This window comes from Homo sapiens, chromosome 2 (genome assembly GCF_000001405.40).
Source record: "Homo sapiens chromosome 2, GRCh38.p14 Primary Assembly".
In the NCBI taxonomy this organism is placed as follows: domain Eukaryota; kingdom Metazoa; phylum Chordata; class Mammalia; order Primates; family Hominidae; genus Homo; species Homo sapiens.
Genome location: NC_000002.12, coordinates 175174100 through 175195790, shown reverse-complemented (window position 1 = coordinate 175195790; position 21691 = coordinate 175174100). Strand labels below are relative to the sequence as shown.

Here is a 21691-nt window from a genome sequence, read left to right as displayed (position 1 = left end):
GGGTGGGGAAAAATTTGACTAAGGTTAACTCTTGAGAAGTTAAAATTGCTAGGATCTTAAGATAAGAATTTGTACACAGTTTGCTATAGTCTAGTAAAGTTTCCAGAAAGATGGACAATTTACCTGCTGTCTGTATTGTTGTAGATTATGTACCCTCTATTAGCCAGAGACCATGGGATGAGCAGATAGAAAGAGGAAAGTCTGACAACAAATCCCTCCACCTAAATCTGAGATTCTTGCACTCTTGAGGTATGCAATGGTGGGATAGGATGTGAGCAAAACCATAAGAAAGCAGGACCTATCTCCTAGCACATCAGTTTTACTGGAGAATAAGGCAGAGAATTCAGTAATTTAATTGGTAATTTAAAGTATTTTAAATTATCTCAATCAGATACACAATAGAATGTAATATAAACATTGCATAATTTTTTTAAAGATTTGAAGTTTTTTCTAAGCTAAAATAGAACAGAAGCCTTAAAAAAGTTTTACTGGTTCTTTAAGGCTATACTCTCATAGGGGATCTGTTTATCTCCACTGATGGTAGAACAAGTTCAGAGGATTCCCTTAAATGGTCAAGAAGGGCAGATGGAGGCCAGGTGCAGTGGCTCATGCCTGTAATCCCTGCACTTTGGAAGGCCAAGGCAGGCAGATCACTTGAGCTTAGGAGTTCCAGACCAGACTGGGCAACATGGGGGATAGGACCCTCTAAATTAAAAATTAAAGCTTTTAACTACTGTGTTCTCTGCTTTGTTTTTCTGTAGTTATTGATCATGGGTGTTTGTCAGACCATGTTTTCTACTTCAAGTTCAAATACAAGTTTTTAATTTAAAACGTGCATCTTTTGTTTAGCTATCCTCTAGTTCAAATCAATGAAAGCAATTTTAACAAGCACTGTAATTCAATCCATGAACAAATCCTGATGCTACCACTTACAGACCCCATTTTGTAGAATGTGTCTCCTTGATGTTTTGCCTCTGAACATCATACTCCGCTTAAAATTATTATATAGCGATCACTACTTTAAGCCAAGTTCCCTGGCTTGGGGACCTGGCATAGGAAACTAACCTAATTTTCAAAGTCCAGAGATCAGAAATTTTTAGAAGGGCAAGATGGGTAAGGAAAAGTCTGAAACTAATCATCTAATGGAATAAATGATTGGAATCAGTAATGGGAAAAGGTGGCTGAGAAAAGTATGACTAGTTCTGTGTAACCCTGTTATTCCTCCATAGGACCATGATAATCCAAAAATGGAGAGAAAATGAAGTATACTCAGCATGATGCACTTGTACCACATGCAAACCCTAGAATTCTGTAATTGATACAAGGAATTGACTAGGAATACAACCCTTACAGACCTCACTGGGAATACAGTAGCAGAAAATTTTGATACGTAGAAGTGCTTTGAAACATTTTGTTATTGTTGTGAAATTTCCTATCTCTTAACCAAAATTTGAATATCTGGGTTCATTAAATATAGATGAATTTGACTTCTTGAAGGAGAATGAGGACTTATACTTGCAATTGATTTTATTTAAAAATAGCCAAAATTCACATAACATCTTCCTATCACATATAAGAAACTATAGCCAATATATAGATAGAAAGGTACACACACACTCACACACTACACACACACAATGCTTTAAAACAAGGATAGCCTAGCCATAGATAGATTAGAGCTAGAATATAATTTGAAGAGTATTGGGTAGGGCTATAGACTAAAAGTACACCCAAGTCTATCACCAAGAACTGAAATTCAACATTTAGCCACGCTTCCCTTTGGTTTAATTAATGCAAACACACAGAAGGAATAATATATTTTATTAATTATTGTGAATTATTAAAACATTCCTAACACATTTTTTTAATTTTTAAAGTAATTCATGTTTATTGTAACATATCAAATAATACAGAGATGTACAAAGAAAAAGTTAACAGTTTATCCTTTCCTTCTCCAACCCCATTTCTCAAAAATTCATTGAGTGCCTCTTAATCAGCTAAGCATGTTCTAGACTATGTGAATACAGCAATGAAAAAAACAAAGTTGGCTGGATGCGGTGGCTCACACCTGTAATCCCAGCACTTTGGGGGGCCGAGGTGAGTGGATCACCTGAGACAGCCTAGCCAACATGGTGAAACCCCATCTCTACTAAAAAAAAAAAAAAAAAGTAGCTGGACGTGGTGGCACACATCTGTAATCCCAGCTACTCAGGAGGCTGAGACACGAGAATCACTTGAATCCAGGAGGCAGAGGTTGCAGTGAGCTGAGATCATGCCACAGCACTCCAGCCTGGGTGACAGAGCAAGATTCCATCTCAAAAAAAAAGAAGAAAAAGAAAAAAACAAAGTCCCTGTCCTCATAGATTTATAGTCTAATACAAGAGCCAAACAAACTAATGATCAATACATGACACTAGGTAGCAAGAAGAGCTCTGAAGAAATATAAAGATAGGTAAAGGATTTGGGAAGCCCTCTCTTAAGAGGTGACATTTGAGCAAAGACCTGAAGAAAGTGAAAGTGAGAGACAGGTGAATATCCAGGGGAAACGTATTACGAGCTGAAAGAACAAAACATACAGCATTGTGAGGTGGAGTGTAGTTCACATGATTCAGGAACAGCAAGGAGGCCAGTATGTGTGAAGCAGAATGAGCAAGGACTTGCCTTTTTATCCCTTAATAGAAACTCTTTCTATTTACTCTGTGTAATCATGCTACCAGCTATGCAGAGTTAAATTCATTTGTTCCGTTAATTTTTAATTTTTAGAAATTTTTAAAAATTTTACTTCTCATATGGTTTGCATGGTTCCAAATTCAAATCCACAAAGCAAAGTACACTCAAAGAAGTCCAGCTTCTATTCCTTTTTTTTTACATAATTTATTTTATATTTAGGATCATGAAGGAACTATTTTTTTTAATTATACTTTAAGTTCTAGGGTACATGTGATCAGTGTGCAGGTTTGTTACATATGTATACATGTGTCATGTTGGTGTGCTGCACCCATTAACTCATCATTTACATTAGATATATCTCCTAATGCTATCCCTCCTCCCTCCCGCCAGCCCACGACAGGCCCCGGTGTGTGATGTTCCCCACCCTGTGTCCAAGTGTTCTCATTGTTCAATTCCCACCTATAAGTGAGAACATGCAGTGTTTGGTTTTCTGTCCTTGTGATTGGTTGCTGAGAATGATGGTTTCCAGCTTCATCCATGTCCCTACAAAGGACATGAACTCATCCTTTTTTATGCATGCATAGTATTCCATGGTGTATATGTGCCATATTTTCTTAATCTAGTCTATCATTGATAGACATTCGGGTTGGTTCCAAGTCTTTGCTATTGTGAATAGTGCCGCAATAAACATATGTGTGCATGCGTCTTTATAGCAGCATGATTTATAATCCTTTGAGGATACACCCAGTAATGAGATGGCTGGGTCAAATGGTATTTCTAGTTCTAGATCCTTGAGGAATCGCCACACTGACTTCCACAATGGTTGAACTAGTTTACAGTCCCACCAACAGTGTAAAACTGTTTCTATTTCTCCACATCCTCTCCAGCACCTGTTGTTTCCTGACTTTTTAATGATCACCATTCTAACTGGTGTGAGATGGTATCTCATTGTGGTTTTGATTTGCATTTCTCTGATGGCCAGTGATGATGAGCATTTTTTCATGTGTCTGTTGGCTGCATAAATGTCTTCTTTTGAGAAGTGTCTGTTCACATCCTTTGCCCACTTTTTGATGGGGTTGTTTGATTTTTTTATTGTAAATTTAAGTTCTTTTTAGATTCTGGATATTAGCCCTTTGTCAGATGGGTAGATTGTAAAAATTTTCTCCCATTCTGTAGGTTGCCTGTTCACTCTGATGGTGGTTTCTTTTGCTGTGCAGAAACTCTTTAGTTTAATTAGATCCCATTTGTCCTTTTTGGCTTTTGTTGCCATTGATTTTGGTGTTTTAGACATGAAGTCCTTGCCCATCCCTATGTCCTGAATGGTACTGCCTAGGTTTTCTTCTAGGGTTTTTATGGTTTTAGGACTAACATTTAAGTCTTTAATCCATCTTGAATTAAGTTTTGTATAAGGCATAAGGAAGGGATCCAGTTTCAGCTTTCTACATATGGCTAGCCAGTTTTCCCAGCACCATTTATTAAATAGGGAATCCTTTCCCCATTTCTTATTTTGTCAGGTTTGTCAAAGATCAGATGGTTGTAGATGTATGGTATTATTTCTGAGGGCTCCCTTCTGTTTCATTGGTCTATATCTCTGTTGTGGTAACAGTGCCATGCTGTTTTGGTTACTGTAGCCTTGTAGTATAGTTTGACATCAGGTATTGTGATGCCTCCAGCTTTGTTCTTTTGGCTTAGGATTGTCTTGGCAATATGGGCTCTTTTTTGGTTCCATATGAAATTTAAAGTAGTTTTTTCCAGTTCTGTGAAGAAACTCATTGGTAGCTTGATAGGGATGGCATTGAATCTATAACTTACCTTGGGCAGTATGGCCATTTTCATGATATTGATTCTTCCTATCCATGAGCATGGAATGTTCTTCCATTTGTTTGTGTCCTCTTTTATTTCATTGAGCAGTGGTTTGTAGTTCTCCTTGAAGAGGTCCTTCACATCCCTTGTAAGTTGGATTCCTAGGTATTTTATTCTCTTTGAAGCAATTGTGAATGGGAGCTCATTCATGATTTGGCTCTCTGTTTGTCTGTTATTGGTGTATAGGAAGACTTATGATTTTTGCACACTGATTTTGTATCCTGAGACTTTGCTGAAGTTGCTTATCAGCTTAAGGAGATTTTGGGCTGAGATGATGGGGTTTTCTAAATACACAATCATATCATCTGCAAACAGGGACAATTTGACTTCCTCTTTTCCTAATTGAATACTCTTTATTTCTTTCTCCTGCCTGATTGCCCTGGCCAGAACTTCCAACACTATGTTGAATAGGAGTGGTCAGAGAGGGCATCCCTGTCTTGTGCCAGTTTTCAGAGGGAATGCTTCTAGTTTTTGCTCATTCAGTATGATATTGGCTGTGGGTTTGTCATAAATAGCTCTTATTATTTTGAAATGCATCCCATCAATACCTAGTTTATTCAGACTTTTTAGCATGAAGGGCTGTTGAATTTTCTCAAAGGCCTTTTCTGCATCTATTGAGATAATCATGTGTTTTTTGTCTTTGGTTCTATTTATATGATGGATTACGTTTATTGATTTGCGTATGTTGAACCAGCTTTGCATCCCAGGTATGAAGCCAACTTGATCATGGTGGATAAGCTTTTTGATGTGCTGCTGGATTCGGTTTGCCAGTATTTTATTGAGGGCTTTTGCATTGATGTTCATCAGGGATATTGGTCTAAAATTCTCCTTTTTTGTTGTGTCTCTGCCAGGCTTTGGTATCAGGATGATGCTGGCCTCATAAAATGAGTTAGGGAGGATTCCCTCTTTTTCTATTGATTGAAATAGTTTCAGAAGGAATGGTACCAGCTCCTCTTTGTACCTCTGGTGGAATTTGGCTGTGAATCCATCTGGCCTTGGACTTTTTTTGGTTAGTAGGCTATTAATTATTGCCTCAATTTCAGCTCCTGTTATTGGTCTATTCAGAGATTCAACTTCTTCCTGGTTTAGTCTGGGGAGGGTGTATGTGTCGAGGAATTTATCCATTTCTTCTAGATTTTCTAGTTTATTTGCCTAGAGGTGTTTATAGTATTCTCTGGTAGTTTGTATTTCTGTGGGATTGGTGGTGATATCCCCTTTATCATTTTTTATTGCGTCTATTTGATTCTTCTCTTTTCTTCTTTATTAGTCTTGTTAGTGGTCTATTAATTTTGTTGATCTTTTCAAAAAACCAGCTCCTGGATTCACTGATTTTTTTGAAGGGTTTTTTTGTGTCTCTGTCTCTTTCAGTTCTGCTCTGATCTTAGTTATTTCTTGCCTTCTGCTAGCTTTTGAATGTGTTTGCTCTTGCTTCTCTAGTTATTTTAATGTGATGTTAGGGTGTCAATTTTAGATGTTTCCTGCTTTCTCTTGTGGGCATTTAGTGCTATAAATTTCCCTCTACACACTGCTTTAAATTTTTGCAATATTCAGAAGAAATACTAGAGGTCATCCTAATTTTTCTCAAGAGACACATACCTTAGCTAAAAGAGAAGAATAATTATGGTGCTGGGAAACCTGGATATCCATATGAAGAAGACTGAAATTGAGCCCTATCTCTTGCCTTACATAAAAATCAAATCAAAATGGATTAAAGACTTAAATCTAAGATGTCAAACTATGAAACTACTACAAGAAAATACTGGGAAAACTCTCCAGGGCATTAGTCCAGGCAAAAATTTCTTGAGTAATACCCCACAAGCACAGGCAACCAAAGCAAAAGTGGACAAACAGAATCACATCAAGTTAAAAAGCTTCTGCACAGCAAAGGAAACAATCAAAATGGAGAGACAACCCACAGAATGGGAGAAAATATTTGCAAACTACCCATCTGACAAGAGATTAATAACCAGAATATATAAGGAAGTCAGACAACTTTATAGGAAAAAATATATAATAATCTGATTTTAAAATGGGCCAAAGATTTGAATAGACATTTCTCAAAAGAAGATATACAAATGACAAACAGGTATATAAAAAAGTGCTAAACATCACTGGTCATCAGAGACATGCAAATCAAAACTGCAATGAGATATCATCTCACCCCAGTTAAAATGGCTTTTATCCAAAAAAAGAGCAATAAAAAATGCTGGCAAGGATGTGAAGAAAAGGGAACCCTTGTACACTGCTGGTGGGAATGTAAATTAGTACAACCATTATGGAGAACTGTTTAAAGGTTCCTCAAAAAACTAAAAATAGAGCCACCATACGATCCAGCAAACTGCTGGATATATACCCACAAGAAAGGAACTCAGCATGTCAAAGATATATATACACTCCCATGTTTACTGCAGCACTGTTCACACAACAGCCAAAATTTGGAAGTGGCCTCTAAGTGACCATCAATAGATGAATAGATGAAGAAAATGTGGTACTTACACACAATGAAGTACTATTCAGCCATAACAAAAAATGAGATTCTGATATTTGCAACAACATGGATGGAACTGGAGGACATTATGTCAAATGAAATAAGCCAGGAACAAAAGGATAAACATCACTTGTTCTCACTTACCTGTGGAATAAAAAAATCAAAACAATTGAACTCATGGAGATAGAGAATGGAAGGATGGTTACCAGAGGACAGGAAGGGTAGTGTCGGGTGGGGGTAGGAGAGAAGGGGGGATGGTTAATGGGTACAAAAAATAAAAACTAAAAAGAATGAATAAGACCTAGTATTTAATAGTACAACATGGTGACTACAGTCAATAATAATTTAATTGTACATTTTTAAATAGGTAAACGGGCCGGGCGTGGTGGCTCATGCCTGTAATCCCAGCACTTTGGGAGGCTGAAGCAGGCTGATCCCCTGAGGTCAGGAGATCAAGACCATCTTGGTTAACACAGTGAAACCCCATCTGTACTAAAAATATAAAAAATTAGCCAGGCGTGGTGGCACGCGCCTGTAGTCCCACCTACTCAGGAGGCTGAGGCAGGAGAATCGCTTGCACCTGGGAGGCAGAGGGTGCAGTGAGCCGAAATTGTGCCACTGCACTCCAGCCTGGTGACAGAGCGAGACTCCATCTCAAAAATAAATAAATAAATAAAATAAAAATAAAATAAAATCAGTAAATGGGTATAATAGGATTCTTTGTAAAACAAAAGATAAATGCTTGAGGGGATGGGTAGCCAATACCCCATGATGTGATTATTACACATTGCATGCCTGTTCCAAAATATCTCATGTACCCCGTAAATATATACACCTACTGTGTACCCACATAAATTAAAAATAAAAAATAATAAAATTATTGCCAATTATTTCATACATACTATTTATTATTGAGCAAACATTTATTGAGTGACTACTATGTTTAACACTCTGTTAGGTGCTGTGAAGGACACAGCATGCCTTAGACATAATCCCTGCCCTTGAGAATCTTACTATCTGTGCTAGTTATTAACTTATGACTTCTCAGCTAGAAATCCACCCTTTTTTCCCTTGCTTTGTTATTCTGGAGCTGGACCCTGTAAGCATTTCTGCTTTGGCAATGGTAAAATTATAGGTTCTGCCAATAGAGGGTGATGGGGAGACACTAGGAGGCCAAAGCAGGAGGAAAGAACTTGACATTCTTCTTCTGGTAGACTTTTTTGTGTGGAGCCAGTGGATTGGTTTGCAGGCGGGGCCTGGTAGTATTCACCTCTACAGTCCTCACAGTTCAGTTACAGCCTATGCCTCCAGCAAGTTTCTTCAGCATAGGTGGACTGCACATTCCTGTGGCAGCCACACACTCCCCTCTAAATTTCTCAGCTTCTTTCTTGTTGTACATTCTTTTTCAGCCAAGGTTAGTAGCTGTGCCTACAGGACTACTACTAGACCCCTTAGAGTCCACTCTACTCCTTTTAGGCATCTTTCACTGGTTAATGTTTTTTTTATGTTAAATTTTCCCTATTCAAATTACAGGTATGTTTTTTGTCTCCTGATTGGTCCCTAGCAGACATACCATCAAATAAGGAAGAAAAGACAGATGTAAGTTAATGTAAATTTGGGGGGAGAATGGTCACTTCAGCTGTAAACACAGCCCAAAGGCCAAAGATCTTCAGAGACGTAAGTCTATAAAATTATCTGCTAGTTAGGGTTGTGTTTAGCTGAATATAACAGAAACTGACCTCAGTGACTTAACCAAACAGAGATTTATTTTTTTCATGTGACATGAACTCCATAAATAGGCAATTAAGGGCTGATACTCCAAAAAAAAAAGTGAAAAATTCAGGTTCCTACTTTCCAGATTCTCTATCCTTAACGTGTGACTTTTGTTCTTGTAGTTGCAATATTGCTGCCTCCCATCTAGACATTAGATCTGTATTCCAGGAAGGAAAAAAAAAAGGTAATGGAAAAGAAAGAATGATCCATTTGAATCAATCCCTTTTCTGCACATTCTTAGGGGCTTCATGGAGTAACTTCAACTCACATGTCATTGACCATTCCTAATCATAAGAGAATCTGAGAAGCTCAGCATTTTTTTAACTGGGGACAGATCTCTGTAAGTAAGAAAAAAAGGAGAGAATGGATATTGGATAGGCAAGTAGCTGTGTCTGCCACAAATTGAAAAATTAGGAAATTACTTACATTTGAGATGGGCAAGAATTAGCAGAGGGATTTGATTTCATTTCCACATACTTGTTCATTTTCTTTTCATGTAAGTAGTCTTTTATATTAATTATACACTATGACATACAATTGTTTTATCCTCAATAACTAGCATATCTTACCAGAAAAGAAGGACAGAATAACATTTATTTTATTATGACATTGTTTTCATGTAACTCTTTTATAAAGTTTAGCCTAGACCTAAAGAGGACATGGAGACATACATTTACTTTTTGTTTCTTACTAAATTATTTGTGGCCCATTTAGTAAATATTCTAGTCCAGTATACTAGATGTCATTAAAGTGGTTAAATAATTTGTAGAACAGTCAAAAATGAAATTTAAGCACAAAATTTTCTACACTAGAAATTGATTAGCAGTGTAGGCAGTTGATAGATCTGGGAGTGTTAGGATCTATTTAAGAGATACCTAGAAATTTTTTCTATCCAAATCATGCCATCTTTCAAGTCCTAGCTCAAGTTTCTCTTCAGTAAGCTACTTTCTGACCAGGACAATCTCTTTTCTAATGCGATTTCCCTTAGTGCATCACACAACTTTGTCCTGAAATGTGTACTAATTTGTATTTTTCTCTAATTTTTTATATAAGTCAGTCCAATTTCTCATATGCCCCAATTATATTGCAAACTCTTACCTTTTCCCTGTGTCCTCACAATGTTCAAAGAAAGGGCATAGTATTTATTTGAGCTAACCTCAATTGAATGTCCTGTAAAACTAGTGCAGGTTCAGAGGTTTTTTTTTCAAAGAGAAATTGATAACAAATTAAAGCCAATAATAAGACACAAAAGCTTTTATAAGAAAAACTAAATATAATAACAGACCCCAGAATATTTTAAACTTATATTTCTGATTTTCATTTCAACAATTTTTTTTTCTCACACCAGCATGAGAAGGCTGGTGAAACTTTTGCAGGCTATTAACATTTAAAAAAAAAATTTTTAAGACAGGGTTTCATTTACATCACCCAGTCTGGAGTACAGTGGTATAATCTTGTCTCACTGCAACCTCCACCTCCCAGGCTCAAGGGATCCTCCTGCCCCAGCCTGCCAAGTAGCTGGGACTACAGGTGTACACCATCATGCCCAGCTAATTTTTGTATTTTTTGTAGAGATGGGGTTTTGCTATGTTGCCAGGCTGGTCTCAAACTCCTAAACTCAAGTGATCCACCCACCTTGACCTCCCAAAGTGCGGGTATTACAGGCCTGAGTGAGCATGCCTGGCCTAAAATGTTCAAAAGTAGATAATTTAAATATCTTTCCATGTGGTCAGTTAGAATTACCTTACTAAAGTTAATGATGACAATCCTACTCCACCTCAATACTTCAAGGAAAGGGAGTTAGTAACCAAGACCTGGGCTTCTTTCTATCTGGTTTGCTATGAGCTACACTTGGAATTTTAAACTGAAATTCCCCATTTTAAGATGCTGCTACCAGATGGATGTGGTGGCTCGTTCCTGTAATCCCAGCTCTTTGGGAGGCTGAGATGGATCGTTTAAGCCTAGGAGTTGGAGACCAGCCTGGGCAACACAGGGAGACTGTGGCTCTATAAAAAATTTAAAAATTAGCAGGTGTGGTGGTGCATGCCTGTAGTCCCAGCTACTCAGAAGGCTGAGATGGGAGGATTGCTTAAGCCCAGGAGGTCAAAGCTGCAGTGAGCTATAGTCGCAACACTGCACTCCAGTCTGGATGACAGAGCAAGACCTTGTCTCAAAAAAAAGAGATGCTGCTACCTCCACGTAGATCTCAAAGAAGTAGTGAATATTTAGCAGACAATGTTTCCTGTTTTAGTTATGTATTACTAAATAGATATTAGCACTTCATAATAAACAACCCTAAAACTTAATAGCTTCAAATGACAAAGTTTCTTTTTTTTCTTTTAGCACCAGAGTCCATGAGGCATTTTATTTGTAAATATGTATTACATCTCTAAAAAAAGAATCCCAGGATTTTACCTCCTGTGTGTTTTCTTCTTGCTTCTTCATGGTCCATGATACCAGCTGAGGTTGTTAGTACAATAAAACCAAACCGGCCGGATAGAAGCAGATTATTCTGCCATTTTTCCAGATGTTTGAGTTGCACATCAAATCTGGGGCTGATTACTCAACGCTTGTTTAGCCTACCTGTGAGGTTCACAACAATTTTTCCCAGCTCTGTAATCATCAGTGATTCAAATTTGCCAATGTAACCATACTTCACCATTACAGTGAGAAACCAGATGATGATTTTGGAGCACAGCCTAATAAGAACCTGGGGTTTGCCTCTTCTTTCGGCATTGTTGATGCTCTTGAGAGCATCAGGCAGGACATTCATGTGCACCATTGTGGCGGCACGAAAAGATGGCGGAAAGAGCCAAACGACAACCCTTTCATTGCTCTTGACACCGTGGGTCAGGAATTTGGGTAAAGCTCATTTGGATGGCTCATTTTTGTTCCTCGTGGTGTTGGGAAGGCTTGACGAGAGCTAGAGATCCAAGAAGGCCTCACTCATGTGTTGGACACCTCAGTTCTCTTTGGACTTTTTTCTATCCAAGTGGTTTCTGGAGAGGGCTATATTTGGGAGTGATCTGTCATACTTCTCTTTGCTATCGGATTTCTATCTTCATCATGCCATCATCACTCAGGCTATCATCATCACCCGGTCTTATCAGATATTGCCAAATTATGATGTCATAACTTACTATGACTGTCCCCACTGTCCATGAAAAAACACAGAAAAGATTAGATACTTCTCAGGGAGGTCCCTGTTCATCTTTATGGCCTCACTTTAGTCCTCTCAGAAGGTACTCTTTTTCTTCAATCTTCCTCAGTGCAAATATCCACCCTCAATCAACATCAACATGGGTTGGTGTTACTCCAATTCACTCCTCTTTTTCTTTTCTTTTTTTTTTTGTTTTTGTTTTTTTGAGATGGAGTCTCGCTCTGTCACCCAGGCTGGAGTGCAGTGGCGTGATCTTGGCTCACGGCAACCTCTGACTCCCAGGTTCACGCCATTCTCCTGACTTAGCCTCCTGAGTAGCTGGGACTACAGGCACCTGCCACAACGCTTGGCTAATTTTTTGTATTTTTAGTAAAAAGACGGGGTTTCACCGTGTTAGCCAGGATGGTCTCCATCTCCTGGCCTTGTGATCCGCCCGCCTTGGCCTCCCAAGTGCCGGGATTACAGGCGTGAACCACCGTGCCTGGCCTTCATTCTCCTCTTTCTATAACGCAATCTTAGGATGCAAAACCAAGCAAAGTCTGAATTAATCTATCTAGAATAGCACCGTGGAGTCACAGCCATGGTCAGGCCCCTCCAAAGAACAGACTGGATTTCGGAACCCATGTCTCTCCCTGCCACAAGCAACTAGTCCATATGCAACTTGGAAGCAGCCACTGTGGATCTTGGCTTCTTTCTTGCTTCCTCCTCAATAGTTACTGCCACTGATTTAGTGCTAAAGAGATAGGAACATCACTTAAAACCATCTCTACACATAAATCCACTTAGAATAATTTTTTCCCCTGGAGGATCTATTATTGAAGTACAAGGCTTTACTGTTTATTCTACTGTAGACACCACAGGACACCATGTTCTTGGTTAGAATTGAGTACTTGAGAAACTATATGAATAATTGCTTGTTGAACAGTACACGTGAATTATCTCTATTTTCCAGCTAAAGATTGAGCCTAAAATGATTAGTATTTTTGTAATTTTGAATCATTTGATCCATTTGAAGTTGGATTAGTGACAAAGTCTTATTCATTTTTCAAGTGTTAGTTCTGAGGGCTTCTCCCAGAACTAGCAGCAACCAGCGTTGCTGCTAGATAATATTGCACCTTTAAGCTAACAAGTAAAAAGCTGATCCTCTGGGTTGATGTTGTCTCATGCTAGGGCTCTAGGCAGAGTGGGCTGGAGTTCAGTCCCCAGCCATCTTCTTAGCAGGGCATTCTAGATGTTTAATCTTTTATGTTGACGTGTTGATATCACTTCCATTAGCCATTTGTTAGAATTACTAAATTAAATTTACATAATTCAAGGATCTAAAAAGACCAGAAGTTCAGTCAGAGCCATTTTTCTGAGATATTTCTGCATCCCTCTGAAGAAGATAATTTGTCCAAACTTAACAAAAACAGGTGTTAAAATTGAGTACGTTCTGAGAATACTCAGACTTTTTTTAAGACTTTTTTTAGTCTCAAACCCTACATGAAATACAATCCCTTAAATCTTCCAATCTTAGAGCTAGAAGAAAAGTCGAGCACCCTCACTTTACCCAGAGGCAATTTTGTGCCCCAGATGACAAAGCTCTTAGATCTACTCATTTGCTTATGGCTCCACCAGTACTTCTAGGTCAGGCCCTCTTTCACCTGAAGGATTAGCCATACTTCTGGAACCATTTTCCAGGTTCCTTGAAATAAATATCTTCGCTTTGCTGGGGACCCTAGTTTCCTGTTAAGTAGTGAATGACCCTTCTTTCCTCCCGCCAGCCACAGTCCTATTTCACAGAGGAAGAGAATGACCAGCAAGTCAACTTCTACTACAGAGAAGCAGCAACTGATAAAAGGCCAAATCTTACAAGGTGCCAACGTGAAGAAAAAGGCCCACTATCCTGCAGCCAACTCATATCAAAAGTTAATCTGTTTAGTCCTCTCTGCCGGGGTGAATCTACAGTTTTTCTTTTTGTCTCCCTCTTGCCCCATCACCAGGTGGTTGTCGTTGTCCTTCCCGGCTAGTTGCCAATAAAGTTGTTACAAAGTGACCTTGAGTGTCTTCCTTGGTGCACCCGAAACCCCGCCTTCTTCATCCGGGTGCTGCGGCGCGAATAAGAGCCGGACCGCGCTTGCGCATTGAGTCCCACTCCTTCGACCTCTGCCGCAGCCCGTGCCGCCGCCGCCTCCTGGGAAGGTAAGTGGAGGGCACAGGGAGCCCGGCCTGGCCAGGGCGGAGCGGCGCCCAGTAGGGACCCATTCATTGTGCCGGCGCCTCACTGGGCACGGGGCCCAAGCTGACGGCGTGCACGGGAGCCTGCGGGGCCTGGGTGGGAAGAACAGGCCCCTGGAGGGCACTTGACCTTAAGCCTCTTTTCCTCCGCAGAGAGGAAGCGGGAGAGGAGCCCACGTCGCCTGTCACCCAATATCTCCAGCCGCGCAGTCCCGAAGAGTGTAAGATGTTCGCCTGCGCCAAGCTCGCCTGCACCCCCTCTCTGGTGCGTAGCCCAGGCAGGGTCGGGGGGATTGAGGGGTGGGCGTTTTGGCCTAGAGCGTCCACGTTGTTGAATGGGGCAACCTTCGGGCGGGGCACACCGCCCTCTCGGGAACGGCTTTCTCCTTACCTATTAACCCATTGCCGTTTTCTTCCTAATCTTAGGGCATCTCAGCCCTCTCCTTGCCACTAGGGCGAGGCAGAGCAGCCGAGGCCTAGCTGTCAGGCCTCACTCGGTGTAGGTCAAACTCTCTGGTCCCTAGACCAGGAGTGGCCCTTTCCCCCACCTTCTCTCAGCCTCTCTGTTGGATTGGGGTCGACGCGAAGGTTGGAGTACTGCAGAGGATGTAGGGGGCCGTTGAGGCCTAGTTCACCTCAGCAGCGCTTTCCAGTGCCTGTCTGTAGGTCAAACTCGTTGCTGCAGAGGGAGGGACTTTGCCTTTCCGTGTGGGGGCGGAGGAAGGTGGTGGGGGAACGAGCCCAAAGTCTTTCTTCCTGCCTCTGGAGTATTATTTTCATAACAATTTTGCAGGCTTAAAGTGAGGTCTAGATCTGGAGGATTTGTCTTAGAGAATCAGGTTTTGGTTCGGAAGGGTTTTTCTGTGACCTTAATTTAGTGGACACTCAAGGGCAGAGAAGTTGGACTGGAATATGTCCTTATGGTCAGATATTTCACAGATTATTCTTAAACTGATGTAGAATTGCTTAAGTTCCTTTTTTAGAAATTTTTTTTTATGATTAATGGTCATATAGAAATAGCTTTGAAATGGTCAGGGCTATTAACTGCTGGGCTATTTTGAATGATAAATGTTTATTGTGACGCTCCTAATATACTTGTTGGTCCACTTAAAATTGCCAAAGAACGTGTGGTATTTATTGCTTTTTTCTGACTTGACTTACGGCACTACAATAATGGAAATGTCAAAAGCAGTTCTTACTCTCTTTGTAACTGTTATTAGAAATTTTATTCAAGGTAGCAAGCGTTACAATTTCATTAGCATGAAACTTTATTAAAATTGCTTATGTATTAAAAATGACCAAACAGCAAAGAGTCAATTCAGAAGTTTCTGATTCATTTTTACTGCTTGCTTTTTTAGAATTCATGGTACCAGAAAAGTCATTGAAGTCTTACCTGTATTCTTTCTTAATATTGAAATCTTTATTTTTTTTTCATTAATAGATCCGAGCTGGATCCAGAGTTGCATACAGACCAATTTCTGCATCAGTGTTATCTCGACCAGAGGCTAGTAGGACTGGAGAGGTAATAGTAGCAATAATTGAAATTAGGTAACACTACCAAATAAGGGTAGGGTTTTGATTAGAGTGAAGGAAAAAAACTTTATTAATAAGAGTTTGAGGGCAAGTCTTTCCCACCCTTTTATCCAAAAAACTAGATGAGCCAAATAGCCAAAAATAGCCAAAAAACTAGATGAGACGAATAGAGAAATTTCTCTATCCAAAACTTGGCCAAGTATTTATATTCAAGTCTATTGATTTAAGTTGCCTATATTTAAAATTATAATAGCTACAGTTATTGAAAAATGTACTCTATTGGACTGGATGCGGTGGCTCACACCTGTGTTCCTAGCACTGTGGGAGGCCAAGGAGGGAGGATTGCTTGACCCCAGGAGTTCAAGATCAGCCTGGGCCACATAGTAAGATCCTGTTTCTACAAAACATTTAAAAATTAGCCCAGCCTGGTGGTCACCTGTAGTGTTAGCTACTCAGGAGGCTGAGGTGGGGAGCTGGCTTGAGCCCAGGAGTTCAAGGCTATAGTGAGCTATGATCACACCACACTGTACTGCACTCCAGCCTGGGTGACAGACCAGGTGAGACCTTGTCTCTTTTAAGAAAAAACAAAACAAAAAACCCTACTTTATTTAAAAGCATATTTATATATGTTGTTTCTTAATTTTCAACACCCTTTTAAGATGTAGATATTGTTATCCCTGTTACACAAGAGTGAGATTATTCTAAGCTCTTGATTTGTCTCTTTACACTCAGCTACAAAATAAAAAAGTAGTTATCATTTTGACAATATGGTATTTAATTAAAATAGCTACCTGTGGTTACTGATACGACCTTTACCTTTATTTTCTGTTTTCCAGGGCTCTACGGTATTTAATGGGGCCCAGAATGGTGTGTCTCAGCTAATCCAAAGGGAGTTTCAGACCAGTGCAATCAGCAGAGACATTGATACTGCTGCCAAATTTATTGGTGCAGGTGCTGCAACAGTAGGAGTGGCTGGTTCTGGTGCTGGTATTGGAACAGTCTTTGGCAGCCTTATCATTGGTTATGCCAGGTAATCATTTCTATCCCTAAATAAGTTAAGAGCATGCTTGCAGTAGTTGGAAACTTAGCTACTGAAATAATAGCTACTTTGCATTAAGTGCTTACTCTGTGTCTTGCATTATATTTAAAGGGCTTTGTATGCATTATCTCACTTAATTCTCATAACACCATTTGGGGTGTTATGAGAATAACATCTATGAAGGACTAGAGACACAGAGGCCACATTACTTGCCCAGGTCATAGCTAGTAAATGTCAGAAAATGAATTTTAACTAAGTCTGACTTCAGAGTCTGCATTCCTAATTGTTAAGCTATTTTGGGAATAAAATTATTAGAGCACATTCCTTAAAAGGATCAATTTATTTTATTTAAGACCTAAACTGTCAGATCTTAAAAGGTATAGATCATATTTTCAGATGGATAAGAATGTCAGAACCCATCAAAATGAATGAAAACTAACCATTTATATTGACAGACAGCTCCCTACCTTTACACCATATTATCAGGATTGAAGGAGAATAGTGTAAGAGAGATCTAGGCAAATACTCTTCCAGCAGACTTTTCAGTTTACAAAAATCCCCACACTAGTAATCTGATTCTTTAACATTTACCAAACATGTTGAAATTAATATTTCAAAGTAACAGTCATATGTGGTCTCTTTTAGAAACCCTTCGCTGAAGCAGCAGCTGTTCTCATATGCTATCCTGGGATTTGCCTTGTCTGAAGCTATGGGTCTCTTTTGTTTGATGGTTGCTTTCTTGATTTTGTTTGCCATGTAACAAATTACTGCTTGACATGTTGGCATTCATATTAATTACGGATGTAATTCTGTGTATCTTACTGTGACTCCGAAAACTGTAGTATTGGTGTCATGGGAATGTACGTTATTTCCAAAGTCATTTCATTAAAGATGAAAACTTTAATTTCTTCTGTGATTTGTACTTACACTAAGTTTAGATTATCACAAAGAAGAACGTGCATTCAGGCAGATGCTGTCCCATTCAGAGGAAGCTACAGCAGTTGCTCCACTGATGAAAAATATTCCAATGTAATTTTTATGGGAATTCTTTTATATAGTGTTCTGCATATTGTAATTCATAGGGCTTTTGTTTATTCATATAAAGGATAAATATTTGGGTGTTTTGAGCTTCTATAAAATATGATTAATTAAAGGTAGTTAATACTCAAGATGGTCTTGAGTTTTTAAGGTCTAACATCAGTTAGAATACTTCAAATCAGAATCACCTTCCAAGACTGACTTGACAGGTGGTTCTAAAAATAAATCACGTCAGCTTTTTAGGAAATGAAGCCTTAAGCTAGGGGGTAATGTGACTTTTGTTTTTCAGTAAGTCTCACATTAAGCAATTGTGTGCCTCTAATGAATCTTCCATGTCTTTTCAGAACAGGCTCAGTCCAACTAGCAGCTAGTTTCTTACTTGAACAAGACTATTAAAAACCAAATATCAAAAAACTGAATTGGCTAGATTTTTACAGCCAAAAATTGCTGTAAGGCAGTGTGTATCACTGTTGCTAACATGTTTATAGTGGGAGTCTTGGGGATGATAGCTGGTTCAACAGTATTTTGCTGCTAATACTTTATGTTGCTTCTTGGTCAAACTTTTCCCATTCAAAGGAAGAAGATGGTGCTACTATAGACAGTTTTTCCCCTAGCAAATATATTGTACCATAATATCTATCATCCAAGTTTCAGGGTTTTTTGAAAGTTGATAATTAGGAAAGTGACATTTTACTTTTCTTAGTGCCCTTTGCCTGTTTGATTTCCATTGAGAAAGAGCAGTCACCAAAGTTCCTCAAGTGTCGGAAGACCACCTCCATCAGAATCAGTGCTTGTTTAAAAAATAAAAATCCCTAGGTTCCAGACCTACTGAATTGGACTCTTTGGACATGAGACTCAGCAATCTACATCTTTAAAAAGGCTTCCCAGGTGGTTTTTGTGCATACTGTTTGAGAGTCACTAAGTTATATATATATCCTACCTTCTGTAAAGTGAAATGAGGCCCCAAAAAGCTAAAGAGGTAGAGCTGCTACCTCGTTTTTAGTTGATTCATCATCTAGTCTATATCACCCAAAAGAATTGGAAATAGGTATTCAAACAAAAACCTGTATACAAGTATTCATAGAAGCACTACTTACAATAGCCGAAAGGTAGAAACAACCAAATGTCTATCAGCTGATGAATGGATAAGTAAAATACATCCATATAATGGAATATTCAGCCATGAAAAGGAATGAGGCACTGATACATAATGAATAGATGTGAGTGAACCCTAAGAAAGCATGCTAAGTGGAAGAAGCCAGCCACATGATTCCATTTATATGAAATATCCAAAATAGGCAAATCCACGGTGACAAAGCCAATTAGTAGTTATCAGGAACTAGGGAGGGGGTGAAAAGGGAGTGACTGCGTAATGCGTATGGGGATTCCTTTTAGGATGATGAAAATTGGATGAATTACAGCTGGTCTGATGGTAGTGGGTTATCAGAACTTATTAACATTAGTGTCATTAAAGTTGGTATATAGCCCCTCACTGCTAAATCTGGCTCAAAAATTAAAAGATTATTAAAATTTGATGAATTAGTGGTGATGGTTGCACAACATTGTAAATATAATAAATGTCACTGAATTGTACACTTTAAGGTGGTTAAAATGGCAAATTTTACATGTCTTACTGAAACTACTATTTAATACAAAGTACATAGTATAAAATTTTAAAAGTGATAGGAAAATGCTTAGATTAATATTCACCTATTCCAAGTATATTTTAAATAAAAACAGTCTTGGTAAAGACCTGTTCTTGGTGCTGGTTTTGGTGGTTGAAAAGGCTTGAAACGTTGATTTGGGAACAGGTTTCTTGTAAGAGATGTCCCAGCTGAGGGAATCTCCCAGAATGAAAATGGACTAACTGAACTGTGGCTGCATAGTCTTCAGGCTACTGAGAAAACAATACAACAAAAAACCACACACAATGACTCAAACTTTATAGAGGGGAAAGGTAATAGTGCATCACAAGTTTAACATCCTTGAGTATACATCCTTTTACTTAACTTTTGTTTCTAGTAACAAAGTTATGACATTGCAAGTACATCACTGGAATGCATCTACTAGCAGAAATGTTTATTGTACACCATTTTTATAGGAAGTACTGCCTCAGCTTACGAGCTTTGCAAACAAATATTAGTGCTAAATGCTTTTTACTGACATCTTCGTTTCTGAACAGAAGCTGATAAAGGTACTATTTTTCTGTCAAACATGAAATGGATTTTCCATGTTGATAAGATGGTGTTGGTAAAATGGTGAATTAAATGAGTGGCAGTAAGTGTTCAGGTGTTCAGAGGGAGTAGAAATAATTTTATAGTTGAAGAATTACATGAAAAAGTACTATTTGTAACTTAAGACAAACCTTAAAGAACCGTGTCACAAGGACAGACCAGAAGAGGGCATTTTGGCTAGTGAACGGCATGAGGAAAAGTAAATGAGCACAGCATTGGTACATGAGAAACAAGGAGTTCCCTGAGTATGAAACAGAAATGGTGTGAGATAAGGCTGTAAAGGAAGACTGGGGCCATTTTATGTAAACAGGCAGGTATAAGATTGTGACTTTTATTCATGTGATACTGTCAGTCATTCAAAGTTTAGAGCTGTATTTTAGAAAGGTTGATAGGAGACCAGTATGTGAGATGGACTGGAGCCAGCAATGAACAGCAGTTCATACTATAGTAGCTTTGCTGAAATGTAATGAAGGTCTAGTCTAGGATGGTGGCAGTGAAGACAGTTGACCCCCTGAACAACATGGGTTTGAACTGTGCAGGTCCACTTATACACAGATTTTTTTCAATATGTTGGAAAGTTTTTTGAGGTTTGTAACAAATTGAAAAAACTCTCAGACAAACCATGTAGCCTAAAAATAATTGAGAAAATTAAGAAAATGGTATGAATGCATAAAATATGTAGATACTGGTCTACTTTACTGCCATAAAATATACATAAATCTATTACAAAAACAAATTTATCAAAACATGCACATAGACTACATGGTACCATTTACAGTTGAGAAATATAAACGTAGAGATGGAGTAAATCATAGCTGCATAAAATTAACTGAAGAACATACTGTACTACTGTAATAATTTAGTGGCCACCTCCTGTTGCTATTGTAGTGAGCTTAAGTGTTATGAGTATCCACTTAAAATGCTGTGATGCTCATCATCTTCATGGGGCAGTTCATCTCCAGTAAATTGTGTATCACAAAAAAAGTGATCTTTCGCAGTTCTTGCCTTTTTTTTTTTTTTTTTTTTTTTTTTTGAGATGAAGTCTCTCTCGTCTCCCAGGCTGGAATGCAATGGCGGCTCACTGCCAACTTCCACCTCCCGGGTTCAAGCGATTCTCCTGCCTCAGCCTCCTGAGTAGTTGGGATTACAGGCACCTGCCACCACACCCAGCTAATTTTTGTATTTTTAGTAGAGATGGGGTTTCACCATGTTGGCCAGGCTGATCTCGAACTCCTTACCTCAGGTGACCCTGCCGCAGCCTCCCAAAGTGCTAGGACTACAGGCGTGAGCCACCGTGCCCGGCCATTTCTTGCATATTTTTCACTGAGTTAGTGCAATATTATAAACCTTGAATAACACCATGGAACCTATACAAAGTACTAGTAGTGATGCTAGAAGCGGTCCCACGATGCGAAGTCATGACATTGCAAGAAGTTGAATGGCTTGATATGCACCATAGGTAGAAGACGTCCGCAGCTGCAGTTGTCACCATTTCAGACAGACAGTTCATCTTGTAAACAGATGGTGTAAACTTGTAAACTTAATGATATTGATATAGTACTAGAAATGTATTTTCTCTTAGGATTTTCTTAACATTTTCTTTTCTCCACCTTTATTGTAAGAATACAGTATGTAATGTATATAGAGTACAAAATTTGTTTATCAACTATGTAATC

At 38.9% G+C, this 21691-nt stretch overlaps 1 protein-coding gene and 1 pseudogene across 3 annotated transcripts, besides 1 other annotated feature; one reads left to right on the top strand and one right to left on the bottom strand.

The window, feature by feature from the left end:
* On the bottom strand, positions 11136-11606 carry RPS15AP14 (ribosomal protein S15a pseudogene 14; annotated as a pseudogene).
* Positions 13878-13997: an enhancer, noted in NCBI's record as "active region_16787". NCBI's record gives its function as "activates an Ori minimal core promoter by ATAC-STARR-seq in GM12878 lymphoblastoid cells {active_cell/tissue: GM12878}" and the evidence as "EXISTENCE:reporter gene assay evidence [ECO:0000049][PMID:35858748]".
* Positions 14081-19533, top strand: ATP5MC3 (ATP synthase membrane subunit c locus 3). 3 transcript variants are annotated; one of them, NM_001689.5, is made up of 5 exons: positions 14081-14135; positions 14325-14436; positions 15613-15693; positions 16541-16734; positions 17389-19533. In NM_001689.5, exons 2-5 carry the CDS (start codon positions 14398-14400, stop codon positions 17501-17503), a joined length of 429 nt encoding a protein of 142 aa, NP_001680.1. In that variant the 5' UTR covers positions 14081-14135; positions 14325-14397; the 3' UTR covers positions 17504-19533. The 3 variants fall into 3 exon arrangements, with proteins under 3 accessions (NP_001680.1, NP_001177258.1, NP_001002258.1); NM_001190329.2 differs by having other exon boundaries at positions 16541-19533; NM_001002258.5 differs by having other exon boundaries at positions 14081-14436.
* The last annotated feature ends 2158 nt before the right edge of the window (positions 19534-21691 follow it).